This window comes from Homo sapiens, chromosome 11, assembly GCF_000001405.40.
Source record: "Homo sapiens chromosome 11, GRCh38.p14 Primary Assembly".
NCBI classification, from domain to species: Eukaryota; Metazoa; Chordata; class Mammalia; order Primates; family Hominidae; genus Homo; species Homo sapiens.
In genome coordinates, this window is record NC_000011.10 from 45540580 (window position 1) to 45554956 (window position 14377).

The following is a 14377-nucleotide window of genomic DNA, read 5'->3' on the forward strand; positions in this document are numbered from 1 at the left end:
ACTAACTGACAGCATATAATATGAATGGGAAATAAACCTCAGAGTATTAAGCCACTGATCTTTGGGAATGTTTATTACTGCAGTATAGCCTTGCCCATTATTCTGATTAATATGGTATTTCCTTCCCATTTCCCTGTGGGAGAGGAAGTACATTCCACTTAGGTTTCGAGTTTTATCCTCTACGGTTCTCTTCCTGTTCACCATTGCCTTCCACTCAGCCACTCTCCTGCCTCATGGTCCAGGTAGGATCTCCTGTTATCCCCCACACCCCAAGGATGGGTTATTAACTAGGCACATCATGGAGACTTCTGCTCACCCCCCACTTCTGGGCCAAACTCTCCAGGGCTGTGTGGGCCTTAGAGACAACCTGTAAGAGGTTCCCATATTGTGACTCAGTGTTTGCTCTGGACCCTGAGGTGAGACCAGCTGGCCTCAGCCCACATTCCGCATTCCCCACCCCACTTCACTCTCTTGCATACTCTCTGGCTGCATGGCGTGGCAGAAAAAGGCACTGGCTTCAGCATCAGATGCACCTAGATTCAAATCCCAGTTCTGCTGTTTACCTTTCAATCCTGGGCCAGGTGTGGTGGCTCATGCTTGTAATCCCAGCACTTTGGGAGGCCAAGGCAGAAGAATCTTTTGAGTCCAGGAGTTCGAGACCAGCCTGGGCAACATAGGGAGACCCCATCTCTATGAAAAAAAAAAAAGGTCCCAGCTACACGGGAGGCTGAGGCAGGAGGATTGCTGAAGCCTGGGAGGTGGAGGCTTCAGTGAGCCATGATTGCACCACTGCACTCCAGCCTGGGCAACAGAGCAAGACCCCATCTTCAAAAAATACATATGTATATATGTCCCAGCTCTGTGACCTCTTATCCATGAGACCCTGGGAAAATTCTTTAACCACAGTGTCTCAGTTTCCTCCTTTGTGACTTGGGGATAAAAGCTCTCTGTTCACAAAGGTGCAAGAATGATAAATATAGTGTCTAGCACAACACCTGAAACACGGTAAGACACTAAAGAAATGGTAACTGGGCATCATTTAGAGTCAGAGTGTCTAGTTCTCAAGTTCCAGCTCTGCCACTGACTGGCAATGTGTTCCTGGGCAAGTCACTTGGCTTCCCTGAACCTTGGTTTCCTTCTCTGTAAAATGGGTGTTTAATTGTCTCTTTGACAGGTGAGGTAAGGATTTTAAAAGGAACTATATATAAAGTAGGTGGCATGTAGTAAGTTCTAAAGAGGTGGCAGTTCTTTCTCCACCCTCTAGCTTGAAAATTCTTCTGATGGCAAAGGTGGTTTCACCTCTATGCCCTTCCTCCCCTGCCACACATATACACAGCACCTGCACACATGCACACAATCAGAACTCAGTCAGAGTGGGCTTGTTGTGGGGGACAAACAGATCCCAGTCTCCTCAGATCCCTCCGGTCCAGGAATAGTTTCTGTGTCCGCTCACCCCAGAAGGAAATAGCCTGGTTCTATCATGCATCATATAAACAGGAAGAACCAACAGTGCTGAGGTGGTCAGGAGACCCCTGTGAGCATCTCATCCACCATCATCCTCATCCTCCCCCACCTTGCCTCACCCTCTCCCACAAGCATGCTCCAAGACTGCTCGAGAGCAGTTTCCATGGCGATAGCATTTTAAAGTTTTCTAGGAGCAGAACAGGAATAATTTTCCACCTTCTCCTCCTCCGTGGCAATCCGGGGAAAGGGAGCTTATTACAGATAAAGGGTGGGGTGAGGGGCAAGGAGGAGAGAAGCAGCTCTTTCTTTCTTTCATCGCGTGACTGAAGAAGGTCACACTAAAATTCCCCACACCCAGCTCCCTCTCCAGACCCCAATTTCTCCCGCGGTCTTCACCTACCTCTGCTTGGATGAAGAGATGGGATGGGTATGAGTAAAAGAAAAAAGAGAGGAAAGAGAAAAGAAAGAGAGAAAAAGTGGGCCAATGTGTGCCCAATCACATGCATGCACCACTCATAAACACAGTGGCTGCAGGAAATTTCCACTGATCTCTTCTTGGGAAGTGATGATCATTAACGGAGGAGAAAAGCTGAGTATTAGAAGCAGAGACGCTGGGTGCAGTGGCTCATGTCTGTAATCCCAGCACTTTGGGAGGCCAAGGCAGGAGGGTCACTTGAGGTCAGGAGTTCAAGACTAGCCTGGCCAACATGGTGAAATCCGGTCTCTACTGAAAATACAAAAATTAGCCAAGTGTGGTGGTGCATGCCTGTAATCCCAGCTACTTGGGAGTCTGAAGCAGGAGAATCACTTGAACCCGGGAGGCAGAGGTTGCAGTGAGCTGAGATCACACCACTGCACTCCAGCCTGGGTGACAGAGTGAAACTCCATCTCAAAAAAAAAAAAAATAAGATAGAAGCAGAGACATCTGTATACCCGGGCTGCAGCCCATGATTGAGTCAGTCTACATGTTACAACCACCTTATAGATATCTCCATAATCTACCAGCCCAAAGAGGGTCCACATACACTGCAAAGGAGTGTTGTTGTCATGATGCCCTCTAATGAGGGTGGACACCATACTGTAATGAGGTGCGAGGGACGGGGTGCTCTTCTTTCACTCTAATTCCTGCTTGCCTTCACAGCCTCCTTCCTCTCAGCCCCCAGCTACATTCCTTTATGCCTATTCTCCAACCTTTGAAGGGTTTTTGTCCCAGATTGTGGGCCTCTATCCAGTTTACATAGAATTCCTTGCCAACATCCCTGAGGCAGACACCATCCAGGAGAAGTGTAAGGTGAAAATAGACTGTGAATGGCCTGCCTCCCTTCCCTTCTTGGCATGGCTGTGAAGAAGGCACCTGCCCCAGGCCAGGTGTGCCAGAACCCCCAACAGGTGCAAGGAAGCAGGCTGAGGAATGGGATGGGAGCACAGACTCAGATGGACCCAGTAAGATTTCTTCCAGGGCTAAGCTTGGCCAAATAAGTCACATGGGGATCATGCAGAAGATGTCAGGATAAGACGCTGGAAGAAACAGATTCCAGTCCTGATTCTCCCACTCACTAGCTGGGTGGCCTTAAGAAAACCACTTAGCCTCTCTTTGAATCTCCTCTGTCTTACCTTATTTTCCATCCTATCTGTCTTGTTCGAAAAGGTTATTTTGAAAATTCAAAGTGAGAGCACTTCGAAAGTTAGCAAGTACTACACACTTGTAAGATACCTCTTTCTATGACTTTGGCAGAGTCAGTGACAAAGATAAGCTTAAAACCTGGTCTCAAATGTTGATCTAGAAATGCAGAATCCATGGACAATGAAGTAAGTGATGAGGTACTCTAGTGCCACAGGGAACTGTTATGTGGCCTTGAACAAGTCACTTGTCCTCTGGGGGCTTTGTCTTCCTCTGCCAAAAGAGGTTCTTAAGGGCCTTTTAGGGCGGGAACCCAAGCCAGACACGAGGCCAAGTCAAGCTAGAGAGTGTGGACCTGGGGTCAGCACCAGGGACAGTTCCCATGAGCCTGGGAGACCAACGTTGATCTGAGTTAGCAGAGACCTGGGTTCAAGTTCTGACCTTGCCTCAAACTTACAGTATTATTTCTAGATGGTGTCTTCTCACTGTTCAGAAGGCCAAGGAAAGGTTGAGTTCTCATTATAAAAGTTCAAAACCCTTCTAGGGAGGCAGTGTGGTGCAGTGGTCAGGAGCACATCCTACTCACAAAGAAGGTGCTGGAGCCCATGCGTACCTGGTGGGTTGCTCCTCCTTCCCCAGTCCTGCCCTAGGAAACAGTGTAGTGGAACTTCCGGGGAGCTGTTTGGGTAGAAAAGCCCAGTGAATTCTCCTTCCTCATGTATAGACCCCTGGATTTCCTATGCCTTCTAGAATTACATCCCTCTATTCATTGAGCCAGACACCTTTCAATAAACCCTCTAATCTAGTTCCCATGATAACCCCTAGCTTAGGCATAATTATTCTTACCTTTCAAATAAGAAGCTGAGCCTGAGAGAGGGGCACCAATGGGCCTATTGTCCTTTCCATTTCACAGTGCTCACTCATGAATGAGACAGCTCCAGCCCTACCCTGCCAGAAGGCACTAAGACCTTGGGCAAGTCACTTCCCCCTCTGGGTTGGACCAGAGCTCCAAGCTCCAAGCATCTTCACTTCCATCCTACAGAGGGGTCTGGGATCTTGACCTAGGAGCACAAGATGTGGAGCCAATAACCTCTCAGAGCTCACGTCTACCACAGGCTCAGATCTCTAAGGTGCCAATAAGCAGATACCCCTGCTCAGAGCTTGCTCTGAGTCAGTTCTCCCTTGGAGAGTCCTGGAAAATATGGCTCTGCTGCTTTGGCAGGAATCTTTCTTTTTTTAATAAAAAAATTATTTTGACAAAGCGTTCTTATAAGAAATGAATGTCAGCCTGACTCTGTAGAGAAGCGTCAGTGTGGAATTGATGTAAGACATGGTGTTTAATTATAGCAACACCCTTTAGCTCTGTCACCAGCCCCGCACCACCCTCCCTCCTCTCATGGTCCGGGGTAGGGAGAGGTCTGTGTGTCCTATAGCTGTTTCTCAGGGATCCAGACCAGCCTTTGACCATCAGGATGAACTGGGTCTTGACTTCCCCATGAATTTCCAAGGCCAAGGTCTCACAGCCCCAGTAGAATATAGCATTCACAAATGTCAGAGACAGAAAGCAGCTCAGATATCACCATATCTAACCCAACCATTTATAGAGAGGAAAACCTAGAAACTCTCTAATTGTAATGTATATGCCAGGCTTCTTCTGCCTTATTACATGACCAATGCTGCAGAGAAGGGGCAAGAGTGACAGTCACCTTGCCCAGGCAAAGTAGAAAGACCCAGAGACACAGATTGGGAGAGGAAGAACAAGGAAGAAGCTGATATGCACTAGGCACCTATTATGTGCCAGGCACTGGGCTCAACACTTCTATAAATTATATCATTTGGGTATCATCCCCATTTTACAGGTGTAAAAACTGAGGCTTACAAGAGATTAAGTAACTTACCCAGGGTCACGCCACCAAGATATGGATTCAGGTGTGCCAGGCCGCAAAGGTTGGGCTTTTCCTGTTGAGGGGAGCTACAGTGAGCTCCCCTCTTAAGCAGCAGAGATCTGGAGTCAAATCCACTGTGTTTCCTACACTTCCTCACTTGTTTCCCAGAATCAAGTGCTTGGTTGCCCTTTATTATCAAATAAAAGGGGCATAACTGCTTTCTGGACATAATTTGCTTTCTATTGGCTTAGGAGTCTCAAGTCTCACCTTTCCCATAGGTGACATGTACACTTTCTGTCATTTTGGTTTCCTTATGATCTACATAAATAAAATGATGCCAGCAATATCCTTACGGCAGATACACCCCAAAATGTTTCAGGACATATTGGCCAGTCATCAGAGGGAGATGAAACTATTAGGAGAGACTCAAAAGGACCAACATCTTCAACTCAGGGATGGAAGTAGCACTGGAGGGCTTGCTCCCACTGCCCCTCTTTCTAAAGCGCCTGCCACTCATCCTGGCTGTTGTGGTGATAAGGAATTAAGAAACACTGCAGTGGGAGAAGGGTTTTTTGACTTACAGAAGCCTCAGCCATAACTTTAGAGATGCTTAGGAAATTCCTCTGCCTTCAATTTGCAACACCTCTGGCCTGATCCCAAGATGCCGGCAGCATCTTTGTGTCAATCAAATTTCTACAGATTTCATGTGCTGAACCTGGCTCTGTCTATACTTCATTGCTCTGGGATCTCAAAGAATTGGCTACAAAAGTGGGGAGCAGCAGGTGGTCATTACACCTTCCATTATGCTTGATGTTGTGTGAGGGCCACCTCACTTCTAGCTAAAGCATCCCCTGCCAGGCATACAGAAATTCCAAAGGGGAAATGGCTCCTTTTACAAACTGAATTCTGTCCCCCAAAATTCGTATGTTGAAATCTCAATGCCCAGTAACTCAGAATGTGACTGTATTTGGAGATAGGGCGTTTAAAGTAGTAATTAAGGCAACATGAGGTCATTCGGGTCAGCCCTAATCCCATATGACTGCTATCCTCATAAGAAGAGGAAATTTAGACACAGACCTATAAAAGGAAGTCCATGTGGGGACACAGGGAGAAGACAGACATCTACAAGCCAAGGAGAGAGACCTCAGAAGAAACTAATCCAGCCAACACCTTGATCTTGGACTGTTGTATAAGCCACCCAGTCTGTGGGATTTCATTATGGCAGCTTCAGCGGATGGTAGCAGGTGTTCTCTCACTTTTCTTCTCTCCAATATATCCAGGATATATTGCTACCTCCTTCCTTCACTCCCACCCCTCCCCACCCTGGATAATTTACTGCCATTAAAAAGTGTATTATGGGCCCAGGCACAGTGGCTCACACATGTAATACTAGCACTTTGGGAGTTCAAGACCACCCTGGGCAACATAGCGAGACCCTGGCTCTACAAAAAATTAGCTGGGCATGGTGTCATGTGCCTGTAGTCCTGCCTCAAGAGGATGAGGTGGGAGGATCGCATGAGCCAGGAGGCTGAGGCTTCATTGAGCTGTGATCACACCACTGCACTCCAGCCTGCGTGACAGAGGAAGACCCTGTCTCAAAAAAAAAAAAGGTGCATTATGGGATGGAGAGGTTGGGGTGGGCCTTTTAATATATTTAGAGCTGAGGTGAGAAAGACTGAGGGCAGGAAGAGCCTTTCTTTTCCTCCAAGCAGCCCAACTCTCCAATGCCAAAGCTATTTTGAGATTACAAGAAGCTAAGTTTATAAGCCATGTCCACCTAGTCAGTTTTCTGGGACCCAGAATGCATCTTCCACAGAAACAATATTTGTAAAAGAAACTGGTTCCCAGGCTAGCCCACAAAAGCCTGTTTAGTCCATCACAGAGCTCTGATACCCATTCTCTCTCTCTCTCACTCTGCCCTGCAGACTAGTAGAGTGATATTGCCTCAAACCTAATCTTTAAACTCTACAGAAAAACAATCATGTCCACCATGAAGTGAGTGGGGGATGTCATTCAGGCTGGATGGCCATGCCTAGAGGAAAGTAGAAGGTGCTTGAGGAGGTCGAGGAGCCCCTGGGGCCTGGGGCAGCGGTACTAAAGGAGACTTCTGGAATTTCTCAAGGGCTTTTGAGGCTGAGCACTCTCGATCCTTATTAATCTCCTTTTACTTCAGAACTCAGGGTCCCCTTTGGATCCTCCTGTAATGGCTGGGCTGATCAATGGTGATTGGGTCATCTGTGGGGGAAGAGAGGACACGAGAGAGGAGGAGAGAAAGCAAGAGAGAGGGGAACATGATTGTGCAAGAAGAGATGGCAGCAAGAAGCTGGCTGATGAGCGTGGTGGCACGTGCCTGTGGTCCCAGCTACTCGGGAGGCTGAGGCAGGAGAATCGCTTGAACCCAGGAGGCAGAGGATGCAGAGAACCAAGATCGTGCCATTGCACTCCAGACTGGACAAAAGAGCTCCGTCTCAAAATAAATAAATAAAAAAGGCTGCTGAGGGGGTATCATGACCAGGAGAGAGGGACTGGCTGATGGATTGAGACTTGATGTGCAAACTCAGCCTTTCCTCAACATCCTGGCCAGGGCCCAATGCACAGGGAAGGGCTCAAAAATCACAGGTTCTGAAGGCTTGAATCCTGGTTTTACCACAGGCTGGTTGTTTGACTTTGAGCAGCATGACCTCTGTGCCCTGGTTGCCTCCGCTGTGAAATGGAATCATAGTAATCACCAGCTCACTGGGCTGTTGTGAAAATGCACTATCCATATAAAGCTCTTAGGAAACACCTCAGTGAGCATTAGCTGTGGTTGTTGTTAGTGCCTGCCCTTCACCAGCCCACTGCATGAGCCCTTTACCACCAGCCTAAACCCAAAGAACAGAAGTGGAAGGAGGCCAGGCGTGGTGGCTCACACCTGTAATTCCAGCACTTTGGGAGGCCGAGGTGGGCAGATCCCTTGAGCTCAGAAGTTCAAGACCAGCCCAGCACAGTGGCTCAGGCCTGTAATCCCAGCACTTTGGGAGGCCAACATGGATGGATCACCTGAGGCCAGGAGCTCAAGACCAGCCTGGTCAACATGGTGAAACCCCGTCTCTACTAAAAACACAAAAATTAGCTGGGTGTGGTGGCGGGCACCTGTAATCCGAGCTACTTGGGAGGCTGAGGCAGAAGAATTGCTTGAACCCAGGAAGTGGAGGTTGCAGTGAACTGAGATTGCACCACTGCATTTCAGCCTGAGTGACAGAGCAAGACTCTGTCTCAAAAAAAAAAAATAAATAAGAAAAAGAAGAAGAAGTTTGAGACCAGCCTTGGCAATATGGCAAAAACCTGTTCCTACAAAACAAAAAGTTAGCCAGGCGTGGTAGTGCACACCTGTAGCCTCAGCTACTCAGGAGGCTGAGGTGAGAGGTTTGCTTGAGCCTAGGAGGTGGAGGTTGCAGTGAGCCAAGATCACACCACTGTGCTACAGGCTGGGAAACAAAGTAAAACCCTGTCTCAAAAAAAAAATGCAGAAGAAGGAGATGAAGAGGATAGAGAGAGTTCAGCGGGAAGAAAAACATGTTGGCCAGGGTAGATGCCTCTACCTGTCGGAAAGGACCACTGAGTACCTGTACTGCTTGTCCCCGTGACATGGATCAGGCCACTGTCCCCATCTCCCCACATTGGTCAAGATCAGGCTTCCTCTCCTGACCTTGAAATGTCTGTGGCCTTCCATTAAGAAGATTTTAATGCCACAACCCATCACAGGCGTCCCTGGGACCTTCTCCCAGTGGGATGCAGGGTCAGGGGCATCCCTCTGCAGCTGGCATCTGAAGGAATTAGCCTGGAGTCGGGGGGGGGGAGGGGCTTGGAGGAAGACAACTGTGAATTCTCTGAGAGGAACAGATCAGAGGAGCTGGAGCTGGTGTTTTCATTCCAATTAATTATCCTTTTAGCGCAGCTCAGACTGCTGGAGAGCAAGGAGGAGAGACTCATTTATGTTAAAATCAGCCGGGCCCTTCTGGCCAAGATTCTAGCCTGCACGCAGATACAGGGTGCACCATGCAGGGGGCACGTGGTGAACCCACTGCCCAACCACCCCAAAGAGGTAGATCCCCCAGCTACCCAGTGGCCAAGGCCTGCTGAAGCCTGTCAGCTTCTCTGTAAGGCCTCTGCTCTGCACATGCTGATCAATTAGGTGCCGGTGACAGAGAATAGCGCCCAAGCTTAATGTGCTTTGCAAATATGGCTTCTTCATGGAAAGCCTGCTGGGGAAAGCTGGTGGCTCGTCCCCATTCACTGCTTCAAGGAGCCCAGGTACCTCCTGAGCCTGCCCTCCCTTGCCCACCAACATCCTGCTCTCCTCCTTCAAAGATGTGCTTCATTCCATATGCACTTCCTGAGCACCTGCCCTAGCCTTGCCCAGTGCCTGGTAATCAGGGAAGACTACCAGAAGGAGGTGGAAAGCCAAATCTTAGGGCCAGATAGGACCAGTGAGGAGGCTCCTACAATAATCTGGGTGGCTCGGACCAGTGGCTCCCCAACAGTGGAGGTGGGCAGAAGTGGTCCTATGCTGAGTATATGTAGAGACACAAGACTTCCTGATGGATTTGGATGTGACACATGGGAGGAAGAGCAGAGTCAAGGGCAGAGCTAAGGTGTTAGACCTGAGTGTCTAGAAGGATAGATTTGCCATACCTGAGATGGAGACAGCTGTGGGAGGGACAGCAAAGCCAGCTTCTCTGACTCCAAGTCTAGTGTTCCCTCTTCTTCCCTGTCTGGCATCTCCAAAGGGTCAGATGTGGGGTGGAGGTCAGTGGTCTTCAGTGCTCTTTCCTTCTGGACAGGCCCTCATTATCTCTCCAAGTCACTCGTCTGCAAGCCTGTCTTCATGATTCATCTATTGGAAGATGGTCTATCAACTAATTCATACTAAAGTGAAAATGGTTGATAAGTAGGGAACAGCCTTAGGAGGCCACTGAGTAGTAGGGGACAATCAATCATGGTAATAATAATACCTATAATAATAATAAAATAAAAATACCTAATCCCTATTTGGCACTTACACTTACTATGTGCCACTAACTTTTCTATAATAGGCACTATATGTGTGTATTATGTTATCTAATCCTACCTATAGCCCTGTGAGAAAAATGTTTATCTTTTTTTACAGATGAGGAAACTGAGGCACATACCCAGGATTACAGAGCTAGGATATGGCAGAGTCAGGATTTGAACCTAAGCAGTCTGGCTGAAGAGTCACGGTCTCAGCCACCACAATCTACTATCGGTCTATGCGTCTTACCAATTCTCATAACAACCATGTGAGGACCGCGATTTATCCCCACTTGTAAAGGAGAGAAAATTGAAGATCAGAGAGGGAAGGTGATCTGTGTGATCCAAGGTCACACAGCTGGTGCCTGGGGGCTCAGATAAAATAAAGGAGGCCCAGTTAAATTTACATTTCAGATCAACTGAATAATTCTTAGTGTAAGTGCATCCCACTCAATATTTGGGACATATTTCTACTTTAAAGTTATTTGTTCTTTATTGCAAATTTAACTAGGTATTCTGTTCTTATTCACTGAATCAGAGACCCCTAGGCCTAAAGACCCCTAGGAACCAGTTTGGTCCAGGCCAACTTTCTCAGGCTCTCAGGATAAACCTCTCTCCCCAAACCTCCAAGTCCCAAAAGACAAAGGAGCTGAGGTGTCCCCAGCCTGCTCTTCCCTGGTCCCCCTCAGCCTTGCCACCCCATGTCCCATCTCCTGCAGGTCCTCCTGATGCTGCGGCCATCACGAGGAAATCCCCGGATTAGGCTCCAATAGTGTTTCCCAGAGCCCTGACGTGAGGGGCTGGGCCCCGCTGAGCCAGGCAGCCATGTGGCCCAGAGCACCAGGCTTAAGAGCTTCCAGCCCACAGCTCCTAAGCAGGCCCATACATCACAGGCAGCTGGAAATCGAAACTCATTTCTCAGTTTGATGCACTGGCAGGTTCATTCGCCTGATTCAGGCAAAGTTGCATTCCACGTTGGGTATTTATCAACTACGTACCCACACTCAGACACACACCATGCTTTCCAAATTCATGCCACAGAGTAAAAAAGAGCCAAGTTCCCTGCAGCTGCCTGCAAGCACCTGCGGCATACAAGGCCTGTGCATACAGGGTATAGGCCACACAGACAGGTCTAACAATTACTGTTCTAACCAAAATAGTCATTGCTACCATCTTTTGAGTGGACACTTGCTATATGCCTGATGAAGTTAAGAGTTTTCCAGGCATGAGCTCATTTAATCTACAGCCCAGACCATGAGATAAAGAATGTTATCCCAATTTTGCAGATGAGAAAGCTGAGGCACAGAACGGTTAAATGGCACACTGAAGGTCACACAGCCAGGAAGTTGCTGTTGCGGGATTGAAGCCAAGCCCTTGATTCTAGGTTCAGTAGCTTTCCCTCCCTCCTTGGCCCATATTACGGAAATCGTGGTCTGAGATATCCCCAGGGGTAAGTCCTATGAGCTAATGAGGAACATCAGAGGTCACTGGTCCATCTTTCTGCTTTGGCACGAAATGCTACAGCTCAAAGGGACTTTGCCATTCTGATGGCAAAGTAGAGTCAGGAGCCACCTCCTCATGAGCAGGTCTTGGGGTGGGGCCAATATTTCTGTGTTGGGAGGGAGGAAAGGCCTAAAGAGGACCATGGACCCCAAGCGAGTGACCATTCTGCCTCCGCCTGAGGCATCCCAGGGCTACATACAACAAGTGCCCCAGGAACCTGGGCTCCAGTCTCACGTTCACTGCTGCCTTTCTCTGTGACCCTGGGAAAGCCCTTCCCCTTCTCTGAGTCTCAGTTTCCCCCTGTGTCACAGGTCTTTGACTTGTTTTGTCAGCTCTGGCATTCATGAGTGCCCCTTTCATAACTATGGTCAATCCCTCACCCTCTCCTCGGGTTCTCCCCAATCCCAGGCTTCTCCAGTCCTGCTGAAGAGCCTGGTGTGGTTAAAAGAACAGGGGCTAGGCCCAGGGCTACCTGGAACACACAATCCCCTTTGAGGCCACCAGGTCCAGGACATTTCTGAGACTCAGCTACATTTCAAACCCATTCCTACCCCCAAGATGCAGCCCACATCCTGTTACCCACCTCCAGGATGAATGAGCTGGGCTGTGTAATAGACTCCTTAGAGGAGCCGCCAGCTCCAGTCTCTTACAGGATTCTCTCAAGGCACCTTCCCCTGACTCAGGAGGAGCCAGAGACACCTGCAGGCCTTGTCAGAACCTGTGGGGTACATGTGCTTGGCCGGCTGTGTGAGCAGGTGCAGGGTGTTCTGTGCACCTGTGGTCATGTGTATCCCTGTGCTGTAGGCCTGCATGTGTGCTGTGTGCATGCAGAGAAATATATGCTGTGGATGCATTTTTAAGTAGTCCATCCGTCTTTGCTCGTGAGTCCCCACTCAAGTCACTCAGTGTCCCTAGATCAACCTGGAAACAAGATTTAGACGAGCCACCTGGAGACACACCTGGGAACCCAACACTCCATTCTGAAGGTTCTAGGATTTCTTGCACTCATGTGCACACACAAATACACCCGTACACATGGTTTCCTTCACCCCTTTGTACTGTTTAAATTAATATCTGTCATCCTCCATAGATTATAAGCATCTTGGGGATGGAGCCCAATTCAGTCCACCTTCAATTCTCCACCCCTGAGCCCTACCCAGCACTTAGCACAGGATTCGGAACAAGTGACTTGCTCAATTTTGTTAAAATGTCTTCAGTTTTAAATGCAGGTTTATGTGTGCATATTTGCACTAGGGGTATGGCTACACACATGTGAGTCTCCTTGCCTGCACTGGTGTGTGCCCACATACTCATGTGTTCAAATAAGCAAGCATGCACAGATGTGCACATCAACTAGTGTGACTAGCACACACCTGTGTGCACGTGTCTTTGAGCATATGTTTGTGTGCTGGCATACCCCTGTATGTGTATGAGCCTGACATATGCCTGTCAATGGACACTGGAGTGTCCCTCTGCATAGCCACTGACATGCACAAGTATTACCACTCATTTCATCATTCATTTAGTTATCACTTGACAAATGTTTAATTAACACCTTCTATGCACCCACCACTGTGCTAGCATTCGGTGAATGAAACGAAGTCCCTGCCTCCACACAGCGTACATCCTGGTGGATGCTTGTACACATGGTGGGTGAGCACACGTGTGGCCTAGGTGCTAACATATGTGCACGTGGCAGCATGTGTATATGCACCATGCGGAGTGGAGCTGGCACCCCTTCCTGATCCAGTTAGTAAGAAAGAGCACTCTGTCTTCCCCCTCCGTGGCTGGAACAGCTCACCTCTGGGGGAGGGGACACTAGGTGCCGGGGATCCCCCACCCCAGCCTGGACCTTGCCCCAGCTGTGACAAGGAGTCAGCCAAAGTGACTCCTCCATGCCAAGGGGCATGGAGGACTTTTAAACCAGGCTGGGGGCCGGCCTAAGAGGCCAGCAGGCCTGGCTGGAGAAGAAAGTAGAGGCAAAGGCCCAGGCATTGTTCTCTCATGTATCCTTCAAGATCACCAGCACGAAGTGGCATCAGGCGTAGCCATAGACAAAGACAGCACTCCTCCAGCAAGCTTGACCATATGGAGGAGGGGGTGGGAGGGGACAGGGGCCAGGCCTTCTGGCTTAGGATGAGCCTAGAGAGCAGCAGAAAGAAAACACAGGCAATACAAGGCCTGGCCCCTAACCTTGCCCATGATGACAGCCCCGCCTTGCTGCACAGCCTTGGAGCCTCTGCCCCATCTGAGGTAAGTGGGGCGGGAGGTCTAGGTGACTTTGAGGGCTGCCCTTCAGGCCTTTCCCTGTGATGACTCACGCTACCCCAGGATTTGGGCCACGGAGGGTGGAGTGAGGCCTGAGTCCAGGTTCTGATGGACATGAACACACAGGAGGAATAAGAAACTAGGTCAGAGGGTTCCTGTAGGGGAATGGTATGTGTCCCAGGGCCTGGCCCAAGGTGCAGCGGCTGTCGTGCCTCTGCCCTGCCTTCCACCTGGGGACCCTTCCACTCATGCATTGTGAAAATTTCCCAATTAAAGATGCTCACACCTACTAGTTAGTGGAGAATACAGAATACACAATCAGATCACCCGTCAGGTCCTGGCTCCGTGTGTCCACGTCCAGCCCTCCAGCACGTGGCTCCTCCGTCTCAGCACCACACCCATGAGCTGCCCCAAGTCTGTTTAGCTGTGCAGTATCTAATCCAAGAGGGCAGGGACTGTGTCCACTTGGTTCTCACACTGTCCCCAGTGTCCGGCACACACAGATCTGGCTGACGGGAGGCACTCAATAAACATTTGTTGAGCAAATAAATTAACTGCATGAACATGTTAACAGTGAATATTCAGGGTCGGGAAATTTCAGATC

At 49.0% G+C, this 14377-nt stretch overlaps 1 long non-coding RNA gene across 2 annotated transcripts in view; it reads right to left on the minus strand.

The window, feature by feature from the left end:
* The window catches only part of LOC105376654 (uncharacterized), a 55627-nt gene extending 53732 nt beyond the window's left edge, over positions 1–1895 (minus strand). For both annotated transcript variants that reach the window (XR_931245.4, XR_001748204.3), the window contains exon 1: positions 1865–1895. This is a non-coding gene — a long non-coding RNA (uncharacterized LOC105376654). The remainder of the gene's footprint in view (positions 1–1864) is intronic.
* Positions 1896–14377: the final 12482 nt, after the last annotated feature.